Consider the following 27,023-nt stretch of genomic DNA (forward strand, 5'->3'; position numbering starts at 1 on the left):
TGAGTACAGATCATAATGGAAAGTGGGGCAGAGACTTCCACTCCTGGGCCCCTGCCTCCAGCCCCCAGTCCTAGGCCCCAGCATCAGCTCCAGCCCCTAGCCCCTTTGTATGATTGGATGGCTGGCCCCTTGAAATAGGCCACAGATAGACCTGCTCTCTATGTTTTGATTAATACACAACACACATATCTGACACTGATCTCCTCATTTTATTCACTTCCTAGCTATCACAGAGAGTTATTTCTCAGTGCTGAGAAGGTAGGTACCTCTCAAACTATCTTTAGAGCCCAAAATGGTCAGAGGGGTCCAAGGAGCCCACTAGAGCAGAGATGACATGGACCAGGAAGGGTCCCTTCTCCTTCTCACCTCCCTCCTTCTTGGCCCTGCTGCCACCTTTCTGTAGACAATCATCAAGGCATCACCCTGCAGTTGCCACATAGGAGAGTAAATCCTGTACAGGGAATTGGGATTACTTCTGACTTGCTGTTTTCTTGGCAACTGCGTGCCGTTGGGCAAGTCCACTTACCCTTTCTAAGCCTCAATTTTTCTATCTGTCCAATGGGGAATCGTGGCAATATTAAAATATGTTGTGTAAATTCTGGGCTCTCTTGTCATTGAGAGGTGAAAGTTAATGTCCCTCATCCTTGAATGTGGGCCAACCTTAGTGACTCACTTGAAGCCAATAGAGGGCAGTTGAAAGTGACACTGCATGACCTCAGAGACTAAAATTAGAAAAGGCCACAGAGCTTTTCCCTGGTTCTTCTGGGACACTCACCTTTGGAGCTTGACCAGAGAAGAAGTTCAAATACCCTGAGGCCGGCATGCTGTGGGGAAGCCCAAACCACAGGAAGAGGCCATGTGTAGGTGTTCGGGCCAATGTGCCCAGCCAAGTTCTCAGCTGACAGTGGGCACCAACCGGTAGAGGACTCCATCTTTTAGCTGAGGGCCCAGATGTCATGCAGCAGACTCAGGAGTATAATAACTTCATTTCCAAATGTGCTGGGTTGCTGTGAGGTACAAAGGCAACTATATACAAAAAAGCCTTTGAAAAGGTGATTTAAAGATAATTATTATTTTTGTGGCTATTTTTATAATCAGGTTTAGTCCTGCATTAGGTTATATAAGAAGAATATAAAAAACAGAGGAGATAAGGTCTTTGCTCTCAAAGAATCTATTCTAGTTGGAAAAGAGAAGACCAAGAAACAGAAAATTACAGCAAATAGTACAGAATATGGCTAAAAGGACCAGGTGTGAGGTGCAGATTAAGTGCTTTAGTTGTTAGTAGGAGGAAAAAGGGGATGGACCAAGAAACGCTCCTTGGAGGATGTGTGCACCTTGAAGGATGGGGAAGATTTAGGTTGCTTGAGAGGAAGTTGGGGAGAGGGAGAGGCCTTGGGAAACCAGTTGAGTAAAGGCACAGACAAGGCAGGCTTGTCAAGGTGAAGAGAGGGCTGCAGGCTGAGGGAACCTACCTGTTAAGCGTGGATGAGGTCCCCAATGCCAGCCAGGAGTCAGGGAAGCTTTCCATGTGTTTTCTGAATCCACGTGGGGAGGATTTCACGGCTCCTCTGGCTGGCCCTTCCTGATATCACTGTGGACCTTTTCTCAGAGGCAGGGAAGCAGCCTCCCGGCTCAATGATCCCCTTCTCTAGAAACTTATTCCCTTGCCCCTTCTTGGTATCTTTTTCATGCGCGTCCATGTGAAGAGACCACCAAACAGGCTTTGTGTGAGCAACATGGCTGTTTATTTCACCTGGGTGCAGGTGGGCCGAGTCCGAAAAGAGAGTCAGCAAAGGGTGGTGGATTACATTAGTTCTTATAGGTTTTGGGACAGGCGGTGAAGTTAAGAGCAATGTTTTGCGGGCAGGGGTGGATCTCACAAAGTACATTCTCAAGGGTGGGGAGAATTACAAAAAACCTTCTTAAGGGTGGGGGAGATTACAAAGTACATTGATCAGTTAGGGTGGGGCAGGAACAAATCACAATGGTGGGGTGTCATTAGTTAAGGCTATTTTTACTTCTTTTGTGGATCTTCAGTTACTTCAGGCCATCTGGATGTATACGTGCAAGTCACAGGGGATGCGATGGCTTGGCTTGGGCTCAGAGGCCTGACATTCCTGCCTTCTTATATTAATAAGAAAAATAAAACAAAATAGTGTTGAAGTCTTGGGGCGGTGAAAATTTTTGGGGGGTGGTATGGAGAGAGAATGAGCGATGTTTCTCAGGGCTGCTTCAAGCAAGATTAGGGGTGGCGTGGGAACCTAAGGTGGGAGAGACTAAGCTGAAGGAAGATTTTGTGGTAAGGGGTGATATTGTGGGGTTGTTAGAAGAAACATTTGTTGTGTAGAATTATTGGTGATGGCCTGGATATGGTTTTGTATGAATTGAAAAACTAAATGGAATAAGGAGAAAAACAGGTATAAAAGGTCTAAGAATTGGGAGGACCTAGGACATCTGATTAGAGAGTGCCTAAGGAGATTCAGTATAGTCCTGCCAGCAAAGATTATTTATTTACTTCAAGAGTTAAGAGGGGCAGTTTGGGGATAGCACGAGGAGATATCAGCTGTGATGGCTTGGAGAAACAGTGTAAACCGGCAGTGTAAACAAGAGCAGGGCATGTATGAGTAGTTGAGAATGGTGAATAGGAGTATGACTAGACAGAAAATAGTAGGGATGACAAGTTTTTTTGGGGCACAGTCTAAATTGGTCCGGTGTCTGGAATGAGACTGGGGCCTAATAAAAAGGAGCTCAAATGGGCTATACTTTGCAGCAGTCTGAGGACAGGCCTGAATTCTGAGAGGCGAAAGTGGTAAAAGTATTGTCCAGTCCTTTTTAAGTTGGTGGCTGAGCTTGGTGAGGTGTGTTTTTAAAAGACCTTTAGTCCATTCTACTTTTCTTGAAGACGGAGGACCGTAAGGGATATAAAGGTTTCACTGAATACTAAGAGCCTGAAAAACTGCTTGGCTGATTTGACTAATAAAGGCTGGTCTGTTATCGGACTGTATAGAGGTGGGAAGGCTAAACTGAGGAATTATGTCTGACAGAAGGGAAGAAATGACTACAGTGGCCTTCTCAGACCCTGTAGGAAAGCCCTTTGCTTATTCAGTGAAAGTGTCTATTTAGACTAAGAGGTATTTTAGTTTCCTGACTCAGGGCATGTTGAGTAAAGCTAATTTGCCAGTCCTGGGTGGGGGCAAATCCTCGAGCTTGATGTGTAGGGAAGGGAGGGTGCCTGAATAATCCCTGAGGAGTAGTAGAATAGCAGATGGAACACTGAGAAGTTATTTCCTTGAAGATAGATTTCCATGATGGAAAGGAAATGAGAGGTTCTGAGACGCGGGCTAGTGGCTTGTACTATAGCATAGCCTGCCTTTGCTGGTGTGTGGCGATTAGGCCTGTTGGAACTGCCATCAATAAATCAAGCGTGATCAGGTGAGGAACAGGAAAGAAGGAAATATGGGGAAATGGGGTGAATATCAGGTGGATCAGAGAGATACAGTCATGGGGGTCAGGTGTGGTATCAGGAATAATGTGGGAGGCTGGATTGAAGTCCGGGCCAGGAACAATGGTAATTGTGGGACTTAACAAAGAGTGAGTACAGCTGAAGGAGCCAGGGAGCAGAAAGTATATGCATCAGGTATGAGGAAGAAAATAGATTTTGGAAGTTATAAGAAATGTAGAGAGTGAGTTGAGCATAGTTTGTGATTTTGAGGGCCTCTAAAAGTATTAAAGCAGCGGCAGCCACTGCACGCAGACTTGAGGGCTAGGCTAAAACGGTAAGGTCAAGTTGTTTGGACAGAAAGCCTGCAGGTTGCGGTCCTGGCTCTTGTGTAAGAATTCTGACCGAACTAACCATGCCTAGGAAGGAAAGGAGTTGTTGTTTTGTAAGGGATTGAGGTTTGGGAGATTAATCGGACATGATCGGCAGGGAGAGCACGTGTGTTTTTATGAGAATTATGCCGAGATAGGTAACAGATGAGGTTGAAATTTGGGCTTGACTGAAGTAATGGGGGCTGTCTGTGAAGCCTTGCGGCAGTACAGCCCAGGTGATTTGCTGAGCCTAATGGGTGTCAGGGTCAGTCTAAGTGAAAGCAAAGAGAGACTGGGATGAAGGGTGCAAAGGAATAGTAAAGAAAGCATGTTTGAGATCCAGAACAGAATAATGGGTAGTAGAGAGAGGTATTGAGGATAGGAGAGTATATGGGTTTGGCACCATGGGGTGGATAGGCAAAACAATTTGGTTGATAAGGCGCAGATTCTGAACTAACTTGTAAGCCTTGTCTGGTTTTAGGACAGGTGAAAAGGGGGAATGGTAAGGAGAGTTTATAGGTTTTAGAAGCCCATGCTGTAGCAGGCGAGTGATAACAGGCTTTAATCCTTTTAAAGCATGCTGTGGGATGGGATATTGGCACTGAGAGGGGTAAGGGTGATTAGGTTTTAATGGGATGGTAACGGGCATGTGATCGGTTGCCAGGGAAGGAGTAGAGATGTCCCATACTTGTGGGTTAAGGTGGGGGGATATGAGAGGAAGATGCGAAGGAGGCTTTGGGTTGGGGAGAAGGGCGGCAATGAGATGTGGCTGTAGTCCAGGAATAGTCAAGGAAGCAGATAATTTGGTTAAAATATCTCGGCCTAATAAGGGAACTGGGCAGGTGGGGATAACTAAAAAAGAGTGCATAAAATAGTGTTGTCCGAGTTGGCACCAGAGTTGGGGAGTTTTAAGAGGTTTAGAAGCCTGGCCGTCAATACCCACAACAGTTATGGAGGCAAGGGAAACAGGCCCTTGAAAAGAAGGTAATGTGGATGGGTAGCCTCCATATTGATTAAGAAGAGGACGGACTTACCTTCCACTGTGAGAGTTACCTGAAGCTCAGCATCCATGATGGTCTAGGCGGCTTCCGAGGCGATCGGGCAGCGTCAGTGTTCAGCCACTAAGCTGAGAAGATCTGGGAAGGAGTCAGAGAGCCTTGGGCCAGAGTTCCAGGGGCTCTGGAAGTGGCTACCAGGTGAGTTGAACAATCCGATTTTCAGTGGGGTCCCGCACAGATGGGACATGGCTTAGGAGGAATCCTGGGCTGCGGGCATTCCTTGGCTTGGTGGCCAGATTTTTGGCACTTGTAGCAAGCTCCTGGGGGAGGAGGTTCTGGAGGAATGCCTGGCCGCTGCGGTTCAGGCGTTTGGAAGTTATTGTGTGCTGGAGATGTGGCTGGGGTTTGTCTCACAGTGGAGGCAAGGAATTGCAACTTTTTTCTATTACTGTACACCTTGAAGGTGAGGTTAATTAAGTCCTGTTGTGGGGTTTGAGGGCCATATTCTAATTTTAGGAGTTTTATTTAATGTCAGGAGCAGATTGGGTAATAAAATGTATATTGAGAATAAGACGGCCTGTAGACCTTTTAGGGTCTAGGGCTGTAAAGCGTCTCAGGGTTGCTGCCAAACGAGCCATGAACTGGGCTGGATTTTTATATTTGATGAAAAAGAGCCTAAATGCTATCTGACTTGGGATAAAGAAAAAGGAGCCTTAACCTTGACTATGCCTTTAACTCTAGCCATCTTTTTAAGAGTAAATTGCTGAGCAGGTGGGGAAGAGCTAGTTGTGGAACTAAACTGTAAGCCGGACCGGGTGTGAGGAGGGGAGGTGATAGAAGGATTATAGGGTGGAGGAGCGGAGGCTGAGGAAGAATTGGGACTTAGCTCGGCCTGGCGACGAGCAGCCTGGGGAGGAGGGGAAAGGTCAGATGGGTCTGTAGAAAAGGAAGACTGGAAAAACTCAGCGACGCTTGGGGTTGGGACTGAGGGGACAGGCAGCAGGGAAAGGTGGATCTGGGAGGAATCGCATTGGGAACAAGGCTAGGGAGGGAATGAAGTGTGAAAAATGCCTGGACGTAAGGCACCTCAGGGCATTTGCCCATTTTTCGACAAAAATTATTTAGGTCTTGTAGGATGGAGAAATCGAAAGTGCCGTTTTCTGGCCATTTAGAGCCATTGTCAGGTTTGTATTGGGGCCAAGCGGTGTTGCAGAAGAAAATAAGGTGTTTAGGTTTTAGGTCAGGTGTGAGTTGAAGAGGTTTTAAGTTCTTGAGGACACAGGCTAAGGGAGAAGAAGGAGGAATGGAGGGTGGAAGGTTGCCTATAGTGAAGGAGGCAAACCCAGAGAAAAAAGAGTGTAGAGACACGGAGGGAAGGGGTTCAGGGTTCTTACCCTCCAGAAAAGCGGGAAGGGGTGTTGGGGCACAGAGATAAGGGATTGAGGCACAGAGATAAGAGGTCGGGGTGTGGAAATAAGGGATTGGGGCACAGAGATAAGAGGTCGGGGTGTGGAAATAAGGGATTGGGGCACAGAGATAAGAGGTTGGGGTGTGGAAATAAGGGATTGGGGGTTCTTGCCCCCTAGAAAAGTGGGGCTTGTCACTAAGGGTGAAGGAGAAGGGGTTGAGGGGTACTTGCTCCTCCCCCAGAAAAGCAGAGAAGGGGTAGAGACACGGAGAGAAGGGGTTGGGGTACTTGCCCCTCCTCCAGAAAAGCAGGACTTGCCACTAAGGGTGAAGGACCAAGGCAGGCGTCCCTGCATGGTCTGACACCTTTGAAACGTGGTTGAATAATTAGGTGTCCCTGCAATGATTAAACACCAAGGGAAGCCTGCCTTCCCAGTCCGTGACCGGCGCCGGAGTTTTGGGTCCAAGGATAAAACGTGTCTCCTTTGTCTCTACCAGAAAATGAAAGGAATTGAAATTAAGAGAAGGGAGAGATTGAAGTGTGGCGCCAAGATTGAAAGGAGGAAGAGGTTGAGGGATAGTGAGGGAAGTTGGAGAAGAGAGTAAAAAGAGGCCGCTTACCGGATTTGAAATTGGTGAGATGTTTCTTGGGCTGGTCGGTCTGAGGACCTGAGGTCGTACGTGGATCTTTCTCACGGAGCAAAGAGCAGGAGGACAGGGGATTGATCTCCTAAGGGAGGTCCCCCGATCCGAGTCACGGCACCAAATTTCATGCGCGTCCGTGTGAAGAGACCAGCAAACAGGCTTTGTGTGAGCAACATAGCTGTTTATTTCACCTGGGTGCAGGTGGGCCGAGTCCGAAAAGAGAGTTAGCAAAGGGTGGTGGATTATCATTAGTTCTTATAGGTTTTGGGATAGGTGGTGAAGTTAAGAGCAATGTTGTGCAGGCAGGGGTGGATCTCAGTACATTCTCAAGGGTGGGGGAGATTACAAAGTACATTAATCAGTTAGGGTGGGGCAGGAACAAATCACATTGGTGGAGTGTCATCAGTTAAGGCTATTTTTACTTCTTTTGTGGATCTTCAGTTACTTCAGGCCATCTGGATGTATACGTGCAAGTCACAGGGGATGTGATGGCTTGGCTTGGGCTCAGAGGCCTGACAATCTTTGTCTCCGCTCGTGCCCATGACCTGCTGGCCAAGCTCACTGACCTTGGGAGTACACCAAATCAAGCTGGAATAGTCTTTTTTTCCCCAGGAGTTTTGTAACTTTGATTCACTGAAGCCATAAGTTGGCACCAGGTGCCCTGGAAAGTCCACAAATCCTGCTGCTCAGGCCTCACTGCCCTGCTTCCTTTTCACCTGGGGTGCAGCTTTTTATTGCATTCTGATAGTTCTTCTAGAAATCGTCTAGTAAATATAAAACATTCTCCTTGCCTTCTGGATTGTTTCTTATTTATTTAGCCAGCAGCTGTTGGTGTCCAGTACTAGTGACTACAATCACCTTAACCAATACCAGCCACAATTGAAGCATGGCTTAGTGCTGAAGAGGCCAAGCCTGCACTTGAATCTTGCCATCACACTCACCAGCTGTGTGACTTTGGGCACATCACTTTTTCTCTGAGTCCCAGTCTCCTTATCAAAATGAGGAAAATAAGCCCCAATGCATAGATTAATTGTGTGGATTTTCTGAGATAATCTATGCTTGGCATGCATTACATTCTGAAAAAAACAAAACAAAACAAAACAAAACGATTAGCTGCTGTTATATTATTATTTGAGTTTAAAGGGTTGCAAGCAGGCTCCCTGGAACTGGGAGCTCCCATTTACCATGCTTGGTGTAGCACACTGATAACAAACACAGATGATAAAGGGGGCTAGACTGATTTTTTAAGTGGCCTTTTGACATGCAGTGGAAGGCACTTGACCTCTGACAGCAGATTAATTTCTAGAACAGAGTCCCAGGCTTGGTGTCCCTTCTGGATTATCCAGCTATTTACATCACAAAGGGGAGTCATGTGGGTGTGCCAGCTCTGTGGATTGGAGCAGAGTCTGAACTGATGAGGTCAATGTTTGAGCATACAAACTGAAGAAGTTCTTTCCAGGCCATAGACTGCATACCCTTTTTAGCCATCCAGTATGTGCAGTGAGGATGCAGTCAATGGCCTGGAAGAGTATTTCTCACCTGGGGGAGAGTGTGGTTGGCTCCATGGAACCCCTTGCCACTGCTGGAAAGAGTCCAGAATGTTTGCTCCTAGCTGAGTGTTTGGCAGGGGTTGTTAGTCCACTGGGGTTTCAGGTACTGAGGTGTCTGGGGTATGAGACTTGGAGATAGTGTCAGAGAATTTTGCTGCTGGTAATAAAATAAAACTCCAAGTAGATTTAGCTCTGGAAGGGCTTTCTTGATGTGGGAAAAACAACTGGGACCAAATGGCCCTTGTGTGTCAATGCTAGTCATTCTTGGGGCTTGCCACTACCCACCCCACTGCCACCCCTTGGCTCCCACTACCTTCTTAGGCCCAGTAGCTGAGGTTGCTATTTTATTCTTTTTTTTCCTCTTTTTCTGGGACAGGGTCTTGCTCTGTTGCTCAGGCTGGAGTGCAGTGACACGATCATGGCTCATTGCAGCTTGGAACTCTGGGCCTCAAATGATGTTCCCATGGCAGCCTCCTGAGTAGCTGGGACTACAGGTGTGTGCTACCGTGCCTGGCTTCTTTTTTTTTTTTTTTTTGAGTAGAGACAGGATCTTACTATGCTGCTCAGGCTGATCTCAAACTCCTGGGCTCAAGCAATCCTCTCGCTTTGGCCTCCCAATGTGCTGGGATTACAGGCATGCCCCACCGCACCCAGCCTGTGGCTGCGCTTTCAATGCCCCAGTCCAACTGGGCACAAACCCTTTGTCTTATCTCCCTTTAGCTCAGATGTGGCAGCTGGAATTTCTCAAAATCTGGAAATCTTAAGGGAGGACCCAGAAAATAAGAGTAGAAGAAGAGTAAAAACCAGGCTGGCTTCAAGAGAACAGAGACCTCCTGCCCACCTGTTTTATTCCCAGAGGGTCCCAAGAAGAGATTTATTTCTCCCTTCTTGTCCCAAAGGGTTGGGCCACCTCTGCAGGCACTTGCTGGCTTTCCTTCTTAGCTTCCTCTGGGCTTTCTCCAGGGAGTGGGCGCTAAATCACCATCCCTACCCAGGTAGCCTCTCCTACACAGCTTAGCCCTCCTTAGTTCTCCCTTAATATGCAAGGCTGGAAGGACCCCAGGAAAAACCTCAGGTCTTCAGAGGAGGCTTTGTCTGCCACAGACTGGAAGCAATGCCGGCTTCATGCAGGTCTGCAGTTGAGGCAGCAACTATCTAAGTGTTACCCACCAAGTCCAGAGGGCTGTTTTCTCACAGAGGTTTTAGGTACATGTTTCTTTCATTGGAAAACTAAAATTCAAATGTGGTTAAATGACATGCCCAAGGTCACTGATTGATTCTGAAATTACGGTTCAATTCATGTCCCCTGATGGCAAGCCTTGTTCTCTTTACCTTATACACACACCCTGAGATTGTATTGTTTCATGCCTGCCTTCCCCACTTCTCTCTCCTCTCCTCCCCCAGAATTCACTGTCCCATGACCAAAGTCCTTGGAGCTATTTTGATTTACAGATGAAGGAAACATTTACAGAAACTCAGTGGACACTCAATAAGTCTCAGTTGAATGACATTGACAGAAAGAGTTGTTGATAATCGTAGAGATAATAATGCAACTAAATGATCCATTTTAAAGGGGAAAAAGTCTTTCTGAAAAGGAATAGACAGCAGTGATTTAAAATCTGATGACTCTGTGGTCCCAGGGTAATTTTTCATGGCGTTACATTCTGGCTTCCACAGTGCTTTTGGTAAGGGGACATACCTATTTCACAAGAGTGGAGGATAACATAATAATTAATATTAAACATTTTTCTTTGAAGGTTCTGCAATTGAGTAACAAAAACCAGCAAAGCTTTAGTATGAGAAGCCAGGGAATCATGGCCATAGGAATAACATTCATATTAAATTGATTTAAATGACAGCCTCAAATACAATGCGATTAAAAGAAATACAACAAACATGTGGTGGAGTTTAGAGCATCTGGGTCTGTTTAAATTGCTCTTGTTTTTCAAGATCAAGGGTATTATTGATAAAAACAAAAATCTTTGTAATCACTAAATTTAATCCAACTAACGATGATGAGAAGACCGTTGTAAACATGAAACATAACTTGGGAACTAAATCTTACATATTTTCCTTTTTGGGAAAGGCATGCTTTCAGTCACTTGCACTGGAGAACGCTGCAGGACCAGCAAGGCAGGGTTTATGGGCTAATCAGTTGCCAGAGAGACAGCCCCAACCAGCCGGCACTTCAGAAGGTTGGAACTGTTAGCCACAGCAACGCTGAACAGCAGCAGGGAATTACCTCTGGTCTCATAAAACCTGTAGGAGGAAAAGAAGCAATTGTGCATCTTCCTTCCTTCCTTCCTTCCTCCCTCCCTCCCTCCCTCCCTCCCTCCCTCCCTCCCTCTGTCCCTCCGTCCCTCCCTCTCTGCTTTCTTCCTTCCTTACTGTCTCTTCTTTCTTCCTTTCCTTCCTTACTCTCTCTTCTTCCTTTCCTTTCTCTTTCCTTTCCATTTGCTGAGGCTGGGCTCACATGCTCCTACTGCTTCAGCCTGCCGAGTAGCTGGGACTATAGGCATGCACCACCACACCCAGCTTCAACCTCAGTATTTCCTACATTTTTCCTTTGCATCCACAGCAAATCTGACCAGTCTTTTCTGAACCTCATATCCCAACACGACCACAACTTCCCTGAAACTTCAAAGCATTGTGTTTGCTCCTCTTTGACACACACATCTGTTCAGCTTTGTACTGACTTAGTTGTGTTTCTTACATCCTATTTAGATAATACCCTCCTTGAAGTCAAGGGCTTTCTTACTCTTTCTTTACTTTTTACCTCTGCAAATCTTGCACAGGGTCTCACAGTGATAAGTGCTCAAATTGCACACTTGTTGGATTAACTTGGATACCAGACTCCAAGTGCAATGCATTGAGATGAGCTGAACTGGTCCCTGCCACTGCTTCTGGTTTGGGGGTCCCCATTAGACCTGGCTCCCAATCTCTGGAGAGGCCTGAGGAACAGGAAGATGAACCTTAGGTTCTGTTGGTTGTAAGAAACAGAGACTCACTCAAGTAACTACAGGAGAAGGGAGGATGGCCCAGACCAGAATGTGATGTAGAACCAAGGAAGCTGGCATAGAGTTTTCTCCCATAGGTGGCCTGGTCTATTTGTATCCCCATGTTTCTGCTGCTTTTTGTGTGTTTTTTCCATTCTCCTTCTGGTAATTCTTTGAGTCTAGCTTCTGTTTACTTATAATTTCTGTTCCTATGTAACTTTGGCTTTTACTAGATTATCATGGCTTCTCTGGTTTCTTCATCCATTACAAATGTTCTGTTTTAGCCTCTTTGGTGATTACATCCTTCACTTGGCATACCTTGGTTCAAATGCCTTGGAAAGAGACTAGGATGGGCACAGCTCATCTTTGGGATTGACTGCCCTTGATCTAGGTGTCTGCCTCTGGTCCAATCAGCAATTCCAGGGCTCAAGATGTGGAAAGGGCAGGTCATTCATTGCAAAACCATAGCTCCTTAAAGATTATGCATAACACAAGTAACTTCTGTCAGAACAGCATTGAAGGTGTGGCAGGCATTCTGAGGCTGGGTCTGTCCAGTTTGGGGATATCCTCCAGGGCTGTCTTTTGCTGCTATGTTGGGAACCAGAGCACAAGTAAATGCAGGAATGGTCAAGAGAAACAATCTTCTAGTTGTCCGGAATCTCCATCATCTCACAACGTCACATCTTCCTTTCCCCAATACACACCCTCACCAGAGTGTTTCCTGACATGAGATGTGTAAAGAGGGGCAAGATGGAAGAAAATCAGCAAACCAAGCAGTCTTAATATTAATGTGAGGAAGCGCTGTGAATTTTACAAGTGAGAACATCAGTCTCCACTAGGAAGATCACAAGGAGAGAAAAAGAAGATAGACTGAGCGGTGAACTTAATACCCAGCCAATTCAGAGGGTGAGAGAAGCCAGGCCCTCAGGATGCTGACAGGAGAATCTAATAAAATGGCAATTGATGTAATCAAGAGTAACTACAGCTTTAGATGTGAGAATGAATTTTAAAAGGCTGAGTACTGATTTTCCAACACTAGTACAGTGTTGACCAACAGAAGGGACACCATCCTAGCCTTTCCATTTGCAGCTTCAAGTGAATTTCATAAATTACCAATGAATTTCTCCTTTTTGCAATGCCTGAATTTTCTCTGGATATGTATACGGAGATACTTTAAAAGAAAAAAGCCAACAGTTATAGATCAACCTTTATTCTGTATTTAGAAGCAACTGCAAAGTCCTTCCTTCCATTCTTCCTTCCTTCTTCCTCTCCTCCCTTATTCTTTTTCCTTTCTTCATTACTTCTTTCCTTCCTCCAATATTTGTGAACATCCTTTTTGTGTAAGTCATAGTATGCATAAATAGAATTTTTATTCAATAGCATAAGAAATACAAATATATACAGTAGTACAACAAATCCAACATTTATTAAAGGCTTTCTGTGTCCTAGGTGCTATTCTAAGCTCCTAACATATATCAGTTAATCCTCTCAACGGCCTTAAATGTGGGTACTAATATTATCCTCTCTTGTAAAAAAAAAAAAAAAAAAGAAAAAGAAAAAGGAGTAAGTGGATCAATGACTTTCTCAAGATCATTGTCTTAATCTGATAGAGCTACCATAACAAAATACCATAGACTATGTGGCTTAAACCACAGGCATTTATTTCTGACAGTTCTGGAAGCTGAGGAGTCCAAGATCAAGTGTAGCTGATTCGGTTCCTGATAAGGACTCCCTTCCTGGTTTGCAGACAGCTGCCTTCTAATGCCATGTTTACATAAACTTTCCTCAGCGAGTGATCTCTCTCTCTCTACTTACAAGGCAACTAATCCCATATTGACCGCCCCACCCTCATGACTTAATTTAATCCTAATTACCTCCCAAAGGCCTCATCTTCAATGCTGTCACAATGGAGGTTAGGACTTCAGCATATAAATTTGGGAGGGAGGACACCAACATTAAGTCTCTAACAATCATACAGTCAGAAAAGTGGAAAAAAAGTAATCAGCTTCAATGTTAGTAGAACCATAAGCAGTGTGAGTGGACCACTCAGGCCATTGTGGGATGTAGAAGGAGAGGAGCTCAGGGGGAAGGAGAAAGAGGAGGAAGAGCCTGCATGTCTGCTCACAGCTGACCCAGAATTGCTTTCTGGAGGGAGAAGTTTCAGGAGGAGGGTACGGGAGAATAGTCTACCACAAGCACAGGCCATTAAGGAATGTGGAGGCTGTTAGGTTCAAGCCCTGAACTTGAGTCCTGCCTTTACTACTTCCCACCTGAATATCCTTGGGCAAGTCTTTTATCCTGTCTTTCCACAGTTGTGTAGACCATTTGAGGAGGCATCTTGTATACTGTGAAAAGCCATTTGGATATTTCATTTGAAATGGCCATAGCCAGGGGAGACATGATTTGAGCAAAACTGATGTCTGTAGCAGTGGCCAGCTCTTCTTGGTCTGCACTGTAAGCACAGGCCTGGACCACAGTCCTCAACCAAACTGTGTCTACTTGTGTCGACCTGTTCCCTTTGATAAAGCTGAGTCCCCATAGGTCGTGGGGCCTGGACCAGCCACTGGAGGAACACTCAGGAAGAGAGAAGCCAATGGGCTTCCTCAGGAGAATTTGCTCCAGGACTGTTACCATTTTTCCCAGACTAGTGACTTCTAGGCCTTCTTAAGAAATTAGTGAAGCAAGCCTGCTTGTGGCAAGATAAAAGAGAAGGGAAGACAGTCACAAAGAACCACATATTCTATAATTCCATTTACACAGAATAGGCAAATCCATAGAGACAGAAAACTAATTTGTGGTTACCAGAAGCTGGGGGAGAGAGGGAGTGATTGCTGTGGGTATGGGGTTTCTTTTTGGAGTGATGAAAATATTCTGGAATGCGATTGTGGTGATGGTTGCACAACCTTGTGAATATACTAAAAAGGATTGAACATAGGGTCTGTAAAAAGATGAATTTTATGGTATATAAATTAAATCACAATTTTATAAAAGTTAAGAGAGGAGGCCCCCAGCAAGGTTCCTATTGTTGTGGGAGATTTCCTTATTGTGGATGTCCCTCTGAGTGGAGGGGACACCACAGGGTCCCAGAGCTTCAAAGAAGGTAACCCTCTGCAGGGTATGATGGGGGCAACTCTGAGGGGGATTCACAGACAGGTCCCTGGCACAGATGGCCCGTGGGAAGAGAGGCAGATAGGCCTGAGGTCAGGTCCTCCCTGAGCAACAGTCCCCAGAAGACCAAAGTGATGTCAGCGTGGCAGAGGGCACACGGGGTGGGGGGAATTCCTGCCTCTGAAAGTCCACCCCAAGCACTTTAAGATGGTCATTGGAAGAGGAAACCATGACCCAGACTGGGCACATAGCTTGTGGTTTGGTGGGAGGAAGGGCACTGTGCTCGTGTCAACCCCAGTCTAGCATGGAGGTCTTGAAAGGCTGCCTGGATGCTTTGCAGCTTTGCTTGTGGCTTTACCTCCAGCACATGCACACCCTCTCCTCCCTTTAGTGGAGGTCTTGGGAGGATAATTTTTGCATTTTTTTTAAAAGGAAATATAGCAAGTATTCATCTTGATCTGCGAACTCAGGTACACACACACACAGAAATCACTTTATATATTTTCTTTAAATCAGCTTAATTCCAACTCTAAACCCTCATCCTGTGGGCTGGTGGGAAATCCATTATGGGCTCCACCTACCACCTGGCCTTGGGCAGCACTAGGATCTAGGAAGTTTATGTGGTGTCTGGAGAAAAGGAAGTGCCTCCACCCCTTAGTGAATCAAACTCCAGGCATGAGTGTTCCCTTGAAATCTCACGGCATGGGCCAGGGGTCTTGGATGGGGCAGGGACTCTCTCAGTTTTCCCTGCTGAGGGCTTACCACCTCCCTAGGAAGCTGCCCTGAGCTATGTGGGAGACCCTGCTCCCGCAAGGCACACCATGGCCTGTTTTATCCATTAGATACTAAAGCCCAAGAGCTTTGCAACGGCTTAGAAAATGTCTGATCATTGGAAGAAAGTCCATGGGCTTCAAAATTTAAAAAGAGAACTGCAAAATGGAAATAAACACATGCTTAATTGTGTTTACGAAATCTAATACTGTCATCTTCATTAATTGTTAAACTTAATATTCTTGAAAACATCATTCTATTTGAAAACAATTTGCTGGTTTATCTCACTTTGCAAGAATTTCTGAGTATAATAATGTTGGCTAAGGGGTCATTCTTGGTCAGGAAAAAAGAAAAGCAACACCAGGGAACAACTTCTGGAATAATGAAGAAATGATATTCAAACTATGCCAGGTTTCTTAAAGCAGGGCTTCTCAAATACTAATACGTGCCCATGAGTCACCACCTGGGGGTCAAGTTAAAATGCAGATTTGGATTCAGTAAGTAGCAGGTGAGGTAAAGCTGATACTGGTAGTCTCCAGACCACAGTTTGTTTAGCCAAGTTCAAAAACATGCTTTCATTTACTGCTTTTATTCAAGAATGTCAGTACTTTCAGCTGACCTGATGGTTAAGCAGAGTCCTCTGGCCCCATTAGATAATGGCACTTAGATACTGACCCCTCTTTCCACTGGGGTCTCACTGATCTTCTGTGTCAGCATGCTTATTCCAGCTCCCAGGCCTTTGCTCCGGCCATTTCTCTGCCTGTAATGAATGCCTCTCCCTTCTAATCTCTGCCAAGTGAGATCCCATCTACCCTTCAGTATCCAACTCTACTGCTTCCTCTATGAAATTTGCCCCAAACTTGCAGCCAGTATTGCTCCCGTCCTTCCCTGAATTCAGTATTTGTAACCCTCAGTTTGGCTCTGATTATACACTCCGTCCTGGTTTTAGATAACCTTTCTGAAGATATCTGTCTTATTTCTCTGACTAAGGTGTGAGGCCCTGGTGGACAGTGTTAATGTTTCCCACTTTTTCTGCAGTCTAGACGTGGCCCTGCCATTTATTTGCCACATGATCTTAGAAAAATCACTTCCCTTCTCTTGGGTCCTTCATTTGTAAAATGAGTCAAACTAACTTGAGACCTCTGAAGGTCTGTCTGCCTCTAAAATTCCTTGGTTCCATGTGGTTCTGACTGCTACACGTTGCCTAGGACATGGTTGACGTTCAAGAACACACCTAGTAGATTTAATTAAGCTGAAATTTCCAGCAAGGAAAAGCTTTATGTCTCCAGAGAGGCCCGGGATGAATGGCCCTGGGCAAGGCAACACATCATGGCGCAGGAGGGGCTCCTCCTTCCCCATGCCTCCCCCACTTCTCCTAGGTCTGTCCTTGGCATCTGGAATTCGCCATTTCTTCTCAGTACCAGGCCTTCCCTCCTTGCATTCTTTACCAGGAACACAAAGAAAACAAAATATGATGAGGGAAATGTGGGCCCAGGGGTGTGAGAAAGGGGAGAGGGGGAAAGGAAGAGGGGTGGGGAAGGGGAGGACAAGAACAGAACCCGAGGTCATAATCTGGAGGAATCAGACGTTTCAGAAATCATCTGTCACAGCACCCCGGCCACCAGAAGATGTAAATAAATTAAGGTGGTAATTCCATCTCAGATTTGCAGTGATGTGAACAGCCCTTCCAAGCCCGGCTCTCACGGTGTGTGATGTCACCCACATGCCTTGATGGAATTAGAGCCCTAATTTATTTATGGTTGGGGATACGCTATTCCTTATGGCATTGCAATTGTCTTTATTTTATAGGCTGCTTGAAGCAATTTAATATGGTTCGATCCCACAGAGGATGCATACCGACAGAAACTCAACAAGTGAGAGCTGGCTTGCTGAGGGCACCACAGCACCCCCGCCTTGTAGACAGCCTGCTGCCCAGGGCTGTGGCGGGTCTGCCAGAACCAGGGGTTTTCTTCTCATCTCCCTCAGGGAGCAGGGAGCTCTCCCGTGTGATAATGAGCAGCAGTCGCAGTGGCGGCGTTCTTCACAGAGACCTGGCCAGGGCACCTCTTGGAAACCAACCCCCGGCGGGATCAAAGAGGGTCAAACTTCAAGAGGATGACTCCAGGTTCACGGTTGAAGCGGGTCTTTGTTCAAACTATTCCACACCTGAAAAGAGGACCCTAGAGCAAGAAGCGCTGTGGAATAGTGTAAGAATTTGGAGTCAGGAGTCCTGGGTGCAAGTCTTGATTTTGCCACTGTGTTGTCCTGTGCAACTCACTCCACTAAACCTCAGTCCTTATGGGTAAAATGAAAATAATATTATCTACTGCAGAAGGTTGTTGGGATGTCCAGATAACAATGTAGTAAAGTGTTGGTCATCTCTGAGTGCTGCATAGACAGATGGTAGCTTCAGCCTAGGGAGGCAAGTGTGAATGACCTCCTTGTAACACAATCTCACCTCTGGAAGCTCCTGAACTCCCAAGGAAACCCAAACTCAAGACAACGAAGTCCCCTACTGCTACCCTGCATCCCTCGCCCCTGAACCCACGGTCATGATGGGGACTGACTGAGTCCTGACACTGGACTTCTCCCGGCTACAATGCAGGGGGACCTTAGATTCTTTATGGGCCAGGGTTCTCTCCTCCTTTGTAACCTCTCCTTCCACCCCTCTTCCAATAAAACGTAGAAGTAGCGCATGTTTTATTTATTTCGTGGTTTCATACCTTAATTTGTCTTTCTTGAGTGCACCGAAAACACTCATTATGTCTTGGAGAAACACTTCTTTTTAGGCTCCAAGTTTCTAGAATATTCTGAGGTCTCACTGGAGGAAGAAATAATGAAGTGCAGTAAGAACTGTACACTGACAGTTAGAAAACCTACTACATCCTAATTACTATGGGCTGTGGCTATTTAAAGAAATAGTCAAATGAAAAATAAACAAGTAAATAAAGATTACACAACTGTCCGCCTTAGCATACACAGCAATTTCTTCACCTATGAAATGAGAAGTTTTGACCAAATGACTCTGACAGGATAATATTCTTTAGATCTGTAGTGTATTCTATCATAGGCAAATATGTTATATAGGGTCCACTATCTGTAGCAGACACCATTAATTTTTTTTATTGTACTTTAATTCTGGGATACATGTGCAGAACGTGCAGGTTTGTTACATAGGAATACGTGGGCCATGGTGGTTTGCTGCACCTATCAACCCGTCATCTAGGTTTTAAGCCCCACGTGCATTAGGTATTTGTCCTAATGCTCTCCCTCCCTTTGCCTCCCACCTCCCGACAGGCCCTGGACACCACTAATTAACCACGGCACTGTTCTCCTCTGCTTCAAACAATCCCTTCCCAAATCATATTACCACATGAGATGAAGCCCATTTGCCACCCAGGTGTACTCATTCAGTCATCAAGCTATTGTTTAATAACCTTCGTTTTTTCTTCTTTAAACAATTCATTTTTCCATCTCCCCTATTTCCTTACTTTCCCCATGACCATTACCCTGAGGGAAGTTCCATAAGAAAAATACAAAGTTCAGTGGATAAAAATATTTTTGGATGAAGAATGAGGAATGGCATTATGGAAAACGTGGCTCTTGAAATATGATTATTTAAACAATACTAATAACCACTTCCATGTAGCAGAGGGCCTGCCCCATGCCAGGTATTGAGTCTGCCCTTGAACTTACCAAGGCTGACAACAACACTTTCAGGTACAGTACTTGTTATTTTTTCTATCTTACAGATAAAGAAGCTGAGACTCGGAGGAGTTAAATCACTTGCACAGGCCAGGCACAGTGGCTCATGCCTGTAATCCCAGCACTTTGGGAGGCCAAGGCAGGAGGATCACCAGAGATTAAGAGTTCAAGACCAGCCTGACCAATATGGTGAAACTCCGTCTCTACTAAAAATACAAAAATTAGCCAGGTGTGGTGGTATGTGCCTGTAGTCCCAGCCATTTGGGAGGCTGAGCTAGGAGAACTGCTTGAGCCCGGAAGGCAGAGGTTGCAGTGAACTGAGATCATGCCACTGCACTCCAGCCTGGGTGATAGAAGCGAGACTCCATCTCAAAAAAAAATCACTTGCTCAGGGTCACACAGCATGTGAGCGTCAGAGCTGGGACCCATCTTTGAAGCCCATGGTGGATTTTCAACGTAGAAGTAGAGGGAAGGGCAGAAGAGGACATAGAAAAAGGAAAGTATTTAACTGTTAATTTATTTCTCTTTCAATTTTTATTTTAGGTTCAGCGGGTACATGTGCAGGTTTGTTATATGGCTATATTGTGTGCCACTGAGGCTTGATGTATGAATGATCCTATCACCCAGGGAGTGAGCATAGCGCACGATAGGTGGTTTTTCAACCCTTGCCCCCTCCCATCCTCTCCTCTCTGGGAGTTCCCAGTGTCTATTGCTCCCATCCTTATGTCCATGTGTGCTCAGTGTTTAGCTCCCACTTGTAAGTGAGAACATGCGGCATTTGGTTTTCTGGTCCTGTGTTAATTCACTTAGGATAATGGCCTCTAGCTGTATTCATGTTCCTGCAAGGGACATGATTTTTTTTTTTTTAATCACACACACACACACACACACACACACACACACATGCACTATCTTTATCCAGTACATCACTGATGGGCATCTGGGTTGATTCCATGTCTTTGCTATTGTGAATGCTGTTGCAAGTGAATGTGTCTTTTGGTAGAACTAGGTAACTGTTTAAAACATACTGTAATTAATATGCCGTTGGTCCATGCATAATGAGATGAGCACACAGGATAACTGGCCCATTTGAAAGTAGACGTGTGTATCCCAGAGCAGAGAGAGCCACCTAAGGTCATTGAGTACTCACCTAGGCCATGAAGAAGAAGCAAGGAATCCACAAGGAAACTTCTGTAGACTGGAAGCCCAGTGCCTCAACTTCTGCATTCTTGCTACAGAAGGGGGCAGGCCTCAATGCAGGGCTCGTGTGCTGCCTCTGCTAGATGGGTTTGAGGACCAGCAATGGCCAGATGGGCAGGTTCCAGGATGGAAAAAAGGCCCACCATTTCAGGATGCAAAGAAGGATCCTGCCTCTTTGTGGTCAGAGTAGAGAATAGAATGCAGAGAGGTTGGTGGTGTTCTGATGGAACCAGGGATGTGCTAGCTTTAGTAATGTCATTCTCTGATCTCTCCAGGTCAGAAGCTGAGAGGGGTGTCTCATTCAATGGCCCCATAAAGTCCAGCTACTAAGAGGTGAGTTGGTGTGACCAGGTCAGGCTGAGCCAAGTTAGTGGGAGGTAGAGCCTGTTCTGCAAAGTAATTTCCTGAGGCAACTCTGAACATTGTGGGCAGGGGCTGAGGGATAAAGGAGAGTGTGAAATTCCATTGGGAAATGACTGAGCAGGACGACCCCCATAGTGTTCTCTTCCAAATGCCTGAGGGGACAGGGGTGGGGGGGGCAGGGGTGAGTGGTCCCATGAGCAGAGGGTAAAGAAATTGGAGGCTGCTTCCAAACATGTCACTAAGAGCATTTTAGGGTCTTCTGCATGAGGGGCAGAGTCAGAAAATGGCTCATGAATGGCTGACCAGTGTGGATGACTGGCCAGTGGTTGTCTGACATGATGGCTGGTACCCTCCTCTGGGGAAGATGAGAATAAATGGCTTATGTTCCAGTGAAAGAGATTTGAGAGGTATCCTGAGGGTGAGAAGCCTTGTTCCCTGAGGACTCCCCACCCTGGCTCGAGTTTCTGAGGGGCTGCACGCCCCCATCCCTTGAGTAGAACACAAGCATGGACTTTTTTTTTTCCAGGTAGATTTCAGGCCTCTCGAAGGACCTCAGCCCCAAGTCTCTCTTGACTTGGAGATGTGGCAGACCTCGGGTCCATTTCTCTTTCCCACCCCACCCACCCATGCCCTTCCCGTTATTCCTGTGTCCAGGCCCTCCTTGCTGGCCAGCGCTCTCCAGGTAGACATGCCTGCAGGTCTAGCCACTCTGAAGGTTGCTTTGTGTTCACTCTGCACAGAATTCCTGTCTCTTTGCTCATTTATTTGGGATTTATTGAGCATGTCTGCTGTGTTCCATCAGGCAGGCATGTCGTGTGGGCACCCTCGTGTGACACAGGGGGAAGAACAGCCAGAGTGATTGCTTTAAAACTTGAGTCAGATCAAGCCATTCCGCACCCCCGACTCCCAAATTCCCCCACCCCTGCAATCATCTCATGCAGAGCAAAAGCCAGAGTCCTTAGGCGCCTGCGAAGCTTTGCACTCTGTGATCACTCCTGCCCTGCATAGCCTCCCCGACCTCCCCACAGTGTCTCCTCACTCTGCTCAGGCCACACTGGCCTTCTCAGTGTTTCTGCAACTTGCCAGGCACTTCCTTGCCTAAGGGCCTTTGCACCTGAGCCACATCGCTCATCCTTTCACCTCCTCAAGGCCTTTGCTCATATGCCGCCTTCCTAGAAGACCTTCCCAGCCACTGTTGTCAAAAAGTCTCCCCCAAAACCCCTTTTCTTCTAACACTCGCTTCCTTCCTTCTAACACCCCCTTCCCTGCTTTAGTTTTCTCTGTAGCACTTTTCAGCATGTGATGTGCTATATGTTTTTGCTTACTTAATTTGCTGATTGCCTGCATCATGCCACTAGATGTGAGCCACATGAGGGCAGAGATTATTGCCTGTTTTCGTTCAGTACAACAGTTGTTGAGCTGTATAACTAGTTGTTGAGCTGGAGACTTCGGCTGTGATCCTGAATAAGGCATTAACTAACGATGTGTTATTGGGCCAATCAGTTCCCCTCCCTGGGCCTCATTTTAAAATGACACATGGAATAGGTAACTCCCCTGCGTTCCTTCCCACTACAGGGTTGGTCCTGTGAGAAGCCACAGAAAGCCCTTGTCTTTAGGGAACCTGGAATCTGACTAAAGAAGCTCAAGACAGAACATACTAGTCTGTAAATGTGTTGCACAGACATTGAATGTCAGGGTGGGGTGGGTGGGGGGCGGCGGTGAGCTGGGGAGGCCAGTGAGCTGGGGGCTAGGGGCTCAGGGCTCAGGCCAAATCGCACAGAAGCCTCTGATTGGGAGCCAGGTCAGACTCTGACTTGTGCTTGTGAGCTCTTCCCCAGGCCCACAGCCATCGGTGGCCTCTCCCGCTTCTCACAGTTGGGCGAGGGGCCCAGGTTGGGTGATGGGGGAGTTGAGAGAGGGAGCTGCCTGCTCAGAGACCCCACCCTTCATGAGTGCCAATGGCTTCCCTGCCTCTTTCGGCCACAGAGATGCTAACCTGCAGGCCCCAGTGGTGGCTCAGCCCACATCTTGAACTCATTTTCCAGCATGAGGGTGTCTGGTTTTATGTCACAGTCCAAGGCACGTGTTTACTCAGCTTCTCTGCTCCCCAGCCCAAGGAGAGATAACTGAACTTGATGGATAACCACTAATTGGATCATTACCTTCATTTCGAAATGATTGCTCCTAGCCACTGGGGGCATTAGTTCCAAGCTGGGGCCCTGCAATCCGGCATGCTCCATCAGCCCAGACCCCAGCAGGATTGTAACCCCACAAGGGCTCACAGCTGTGCTCCTGTCTAACTATAACCTCTAACCAGCCCCCTCCCTACGCTCTCCCAACTCAGTGTCCAGCTGGTCATTGTGCACCTTGCCCCCACCGACTCTCTCCTCTGGAGTGCCCTCTCTGTTGCCAGGGCTCCCAGGAACACCAGTTCCCACCACACCCTCCTCTCTGGCTACCTCTCTGTTCTCTGATTGTCTGATAGGCGTATAGTTTGCCTCTCCAGACAGAGAACAGGGTCCTTGAAGGCAGGGCAACCTCTCTTCTTCCAGATGCTCCTTGTATTGCTGACACTGGGCTGGGCACACAGTGGTGGCTGTTGGTTGATTGATGTTATGAGGCAGGAGGGAAGGGCCGGAAGGGAGTGCGATTGATTCCAGCTGAAAATGGGGAGGCAGGGGCAGGCAGAGGGTAATGATGACTCGGGGTGGGGGCAGGTGGGTCAGGAGCTCCGAAGGACCCACCCCCACCCCCACCCCCACCCTACCCTTGTGACTCTGACCTGGGAGCCTGAGTTTAAAAAAAATAGTTTATAGAAGAATCCCTCTGAGAGTGGTTAAATAAATTACCATAACTCCTGAGATGAAATATTACAGCCATTAAAAATGTCTCGAAGGATATTTAATGATCACACTAAATGAGTGAAAAAAAGTTACAAAAAGTAATGCACAATATGATTCCATTCAAAGATGTTGCTAAACACACTTATAGACAAATAGCAGGTGGTATTTATTGAGCTCTTACTGCAAGCCCTGCATTGTGCCACGGGTGTCCTGCGTATCATCTCATGCAGTCTTCATATCAATCCCAGGAGCTGGGTTGTTTCTTTATCCCCATTTTACATGCGTGGAAACTGAGGCCCAGAAGTGAGGTGATTTTCCCAAGGTCATACAGCATAATCGGTCTCCCTTAGTGCTGAAGTTTGGACAGGTTAAAGTCTTTGAGCTCTGAACTTCTTATGCTGTCAGGAGGTCCCTTAGGCAAGAGGAATCAGGTCAAAACGGTGTCAAAACCATGTGGTAGGGAGAGTAGCCAGAGGGCATGTGCACCTGCTCTGTGCGCTGAGGGCCCTGGAGCCCAAGACCACATTTTTCAACATTTCCCACCAAGGGCTACCAGGGAGAGCTCGAGCAGTGAAACAACCTCCTGGAGAAAGGGCATGCTTACCCCAAACAGTGTTATCCTGGGGTTAAACAGTGTTATTGACTGGGGGTAGGGAGATTGGGGCAGGGAGATGGAGTCTGTTCTGTGTTCTGGCCTTCCATGGCCTCCTGAGATGTTGCATAAATCTGGCCATCCTGGGACTGGGAGGTGGGACAGGGGTGGGGTGATGAGGGTGGGGAAGTGTCATCTGAGGGAGAGGGTCAGAGAGTCCACTTACAGTTTTCCAGGCAGCTCCCTGACTTTGAAGAGGGACATTGGGATGAAAAATAAAGCTACAGTATCCCTGCACTCACAGTGCCTGCTGCTGCTGATGGTGGGGTTTGGTAGCACAGTGGATCCTTGAACATCAGGGTTTGAACTGCATGGGTCCAATCATATGCAATTTTTTTAACCAAACATGAATGGAAAACATTGTATTCAAGGGATGTGAAACCTGTGTATATGAAGGGCTGACTTTCTGTACACTTGGGTTCCACAGGGCTGACTGCAGGTCTTGAGTATGTGTGAATTTTGTTATATGTGGGAGTCCTGGAACCCATCCCCCACACATACTGAGGGACAACTATATGAATCAGCCTGTCTTGATTGCCTACTAATTGAGTATCTGGTGTGTGTGTGTGTGTGTGTGTGTGTACCTGTGTGTGGGCACATGTTTGTGTGTGTGTGTTTGAGGCATGAAGAGAAGGCATGACTCCACTCTGGGAATAAGACTGATCCAGGAGGGAACTGTTCACAGTAAACTTGAAAGGCTGGATGCCACACTCTGTTACAAGCAAGGGAGACAAGAGCTGCTTATCTGCCTAAACTCATGTTGAAATTTAATTGCTATAGTAACACTGTTAAGAGGTGGAACATTTAAGATGTGATTAAGTCATGAGGGATCTGACCTCTTGGGTGGGATTAATGTCTTTATAAAAGGGCAAGTTCAGCCCCCTTTTTCCTCTTTGCTCTTCTGCCTTCCACCATGCGAGGATGCAGTGTTTGAGGCACCATCTTAGAGTCAGAATTGCCAACCCTGCTGGTGGCTTGATCTTGGACTTCCCAGACTCCAGAACTGTGAGCCAATAGTTTCTGTTCATTATAAATTACCCAGTCTTGAATTTTTTTCTTAGAGCAACACGAAACAGACTAAGACATGTGCCCTCAGATGTAGAAGGATATGTTGTGAAGACTGACATAAGTTTGAATACTGGGCAAATTGGCCAACTCCTTCCACTGAGTTACTCGCCTTCCACCTCTCCCCACCTCCTCTCTTCTTTTTTATTCCCCTCTTCCCTCAACTTCAACCTATGGGGAAGCAGTCCTCTTATTCTGCCCTGTACATGGTGTTGTTTTTCTTTTGGGGGAGGCCTCAGGGAGGGCCTAGGGAAACTGGGAGGTGGCATTTGCTTGTATTGAACACCTACTATGGGCAGGCCTTTGTGTTAGGCATGCCTGTGGGGGACAGAAGGTGAGTAAGTCATGGTCCTGGTCTTCATGGAGCTCATGAGTGGCACAGCAGAACCACAAGGCTTAAGGTGATGGAGTGTAGGGCTTGTGGGTAGGTGTGGGGAGGACTCAGAGATGGCAATAAGGCCCCACGCCTGGGGACTGAGTGCCTGAGCAGGGGTAGGGAGTTTGGTGGATGGGGGACAAGGATGAGGATAAGATGATGATTTTGGGGAAAGTGGGTCAGGGTTTGCCTAGGCTGACTTTTGAGGGTGAGCAAGCATCACCCATGGTTAGGCAAAACAAGATGGCAATAAAAACTTCTGTCCAAGCCCCTGGAATGCTTAATGTTTCTCATGGACCCTGGTATGGTCTGGCCAGGTAAGGATGCAGTCTGACATCTATTAATAACTAATCCTCTGCTTCCCCTGCCCCATCCTTCCCTGATATCTGACCGTCTACCCTGGAATTCTTCAGTTATTTACCATGGGGCCCTGTGGGAAGCATCCAGAATGCCAGCACACCCAGGATGCCCACCCAGGTGGGGTGCTGAGAGCAGCGGGAGGCTCTGTGGACTGACCTAGTAGTGGTCTTTGCTCTTCCCCACTGAGGAGTTGCCCCCTGGGTGTGAGGAGAATGAACATGGAATGGCTCAGCCTAAACAGGTCTGATTTCGATGGCCCCTTGGGCCCATTTGATGTGGCCCAGTGCTGAGTAGTGCCCACTTCCTCATGTCCTCTGACATGGCCTGCCCTTCTGGATCCTGGGTTTTTTCCCCTCGTCCTGACATTGCCTTCCTCCTTTCCTCAGAAATCTTGCGCCCAGGAAGAATTAGTTCATTTCTGGAGTAGGCCCCATGGACTTTGTATACAAACTTTGATGATAGCTTCTCTGAATTCTCCAGCCTGTTTCAGCTGCAGAAAACCAGTCACTTCCAGTTTCCATACTCTCCTTCAGGCAGCATAGTCCCCCCTCTGTTAAGTGGTCCCCTTAACATTGCTTTACTGGGATGATCCTAATTTTTGGCATGACTCTAACCTTGTTGACCAAGGTGCCAGTTCCCCATTACACAAAGTCTCTTTAGCCCTTTTCTCTCCCTCTCCCAGCTCTTTCTTGGTACCCATCTGGAGAAAGGAGGGAAAAACACTCAATATATGTCAGACAATGAGCTGGGTGTTTGACCATTTTTTTTTTCTCATTTAAGCCTCTCAATATCTCTCCTATGTATTGTTATGCTTTTTCACATAGAGAAGGAATCTGAGTTTCAGACAGGTTATCTCAGTTTCCCAGGATCTTAAGGGTGGTGAGACCAAGCAGGATTAGAAACGCATCTCTCCAGCTCCAGAGTTTCTGCTTGTTTTTTTTTTTTTTTTATTATACTTCAACTTTTAGGGTACATGTGCACATTGTGCAGGTTAGTTACATATGTATACATGTGCCATACTGGTGCGCTGCACCCACTAACTCGTCATCTAGCATTAGGTATATCTCCCAGTGCTATCCCTCCTCCCTCCCCCCACCCCACCACAGTCCCCAGAGTGTGATATTCCCCTTCCTGTGTCCATGTGATCTCATTGTTCAATTCCCACCTATGAGTG

General features: G+C 46.7%; 4 annotated features.

Annotated features, from left to right (window-relative positions):
- Window positions 1,816-2,317: an enhancer, noted in NCBI's record as "NANOG hESC enhancer chr2:45261729-45262230 (GRCh37/hg19 assembly coordinates)". NCBI's record gives its function as "activates a minimal SCP1, AML or CMV promoter by ChIP-STARR-seq in naive H9 embryonic stem cells {active_cell/tissue: H9 hESC(naive)}" and the evidence as "EXISTENCE:reporter gene assay evidence [ECO:0000049][PMID:30033119]".
- Window positions 6,790-7,989: an enhancer, noted in NCBI's record as "CDK7 strongly-dependent group 2 enhancer chr2:45266703-45267902 (GRCh37/hg19 assembly coordinates)". NCBI's record gives its function as "activates an origin of replication core promoter dependent on BRD2, BRD4, P300/CBP, MED14 and CDK7 cofactors, with strong dependence on CDK7, by STARR-seq in HCT116 cells {active_cell/tissue: HCT116}" and the evidence as "EXISTENCE:reporter gene assay evidence [ECO:0000049][PMID:35650434]".
- Window positions 6,790-8,159: a biological region, named in NCBI's record as "CDK7 strongly-dependent group 2 enhancer GRCh37_chr2:45266703-45267902".
- Window positions 7,660-8,159: an enhancer, noted in NCBI's record as "H3K27ac hESC enhancer chr2:45267573-45268072 (GRCh37/hg19 assembly coordinates)". NCBI's record gives its function as "activates a minimal SCP1, AML or CMV promoter by ChIP-STARR-seq in naive H9 embryonic stem cells {active_cell/tissue: H9 hESC(naive)}" and the evidence as "EXISTENCE:reporter gene assay evidence [ECO:0000049][PMID:30033119]".

The sequence above is a fragment of the Homo sapiens genome, chromosome 2 (assembly GCF_000001405.40).
Source record: "Homo sapiens chromosome 2, GRCh38.p14 Primary Assembly".
Lineage (NCBI taxonomy): Eukaryota > Metazoa > Chordata > Mammalia > Primates > Hominidae > Homo > Homo sapiens.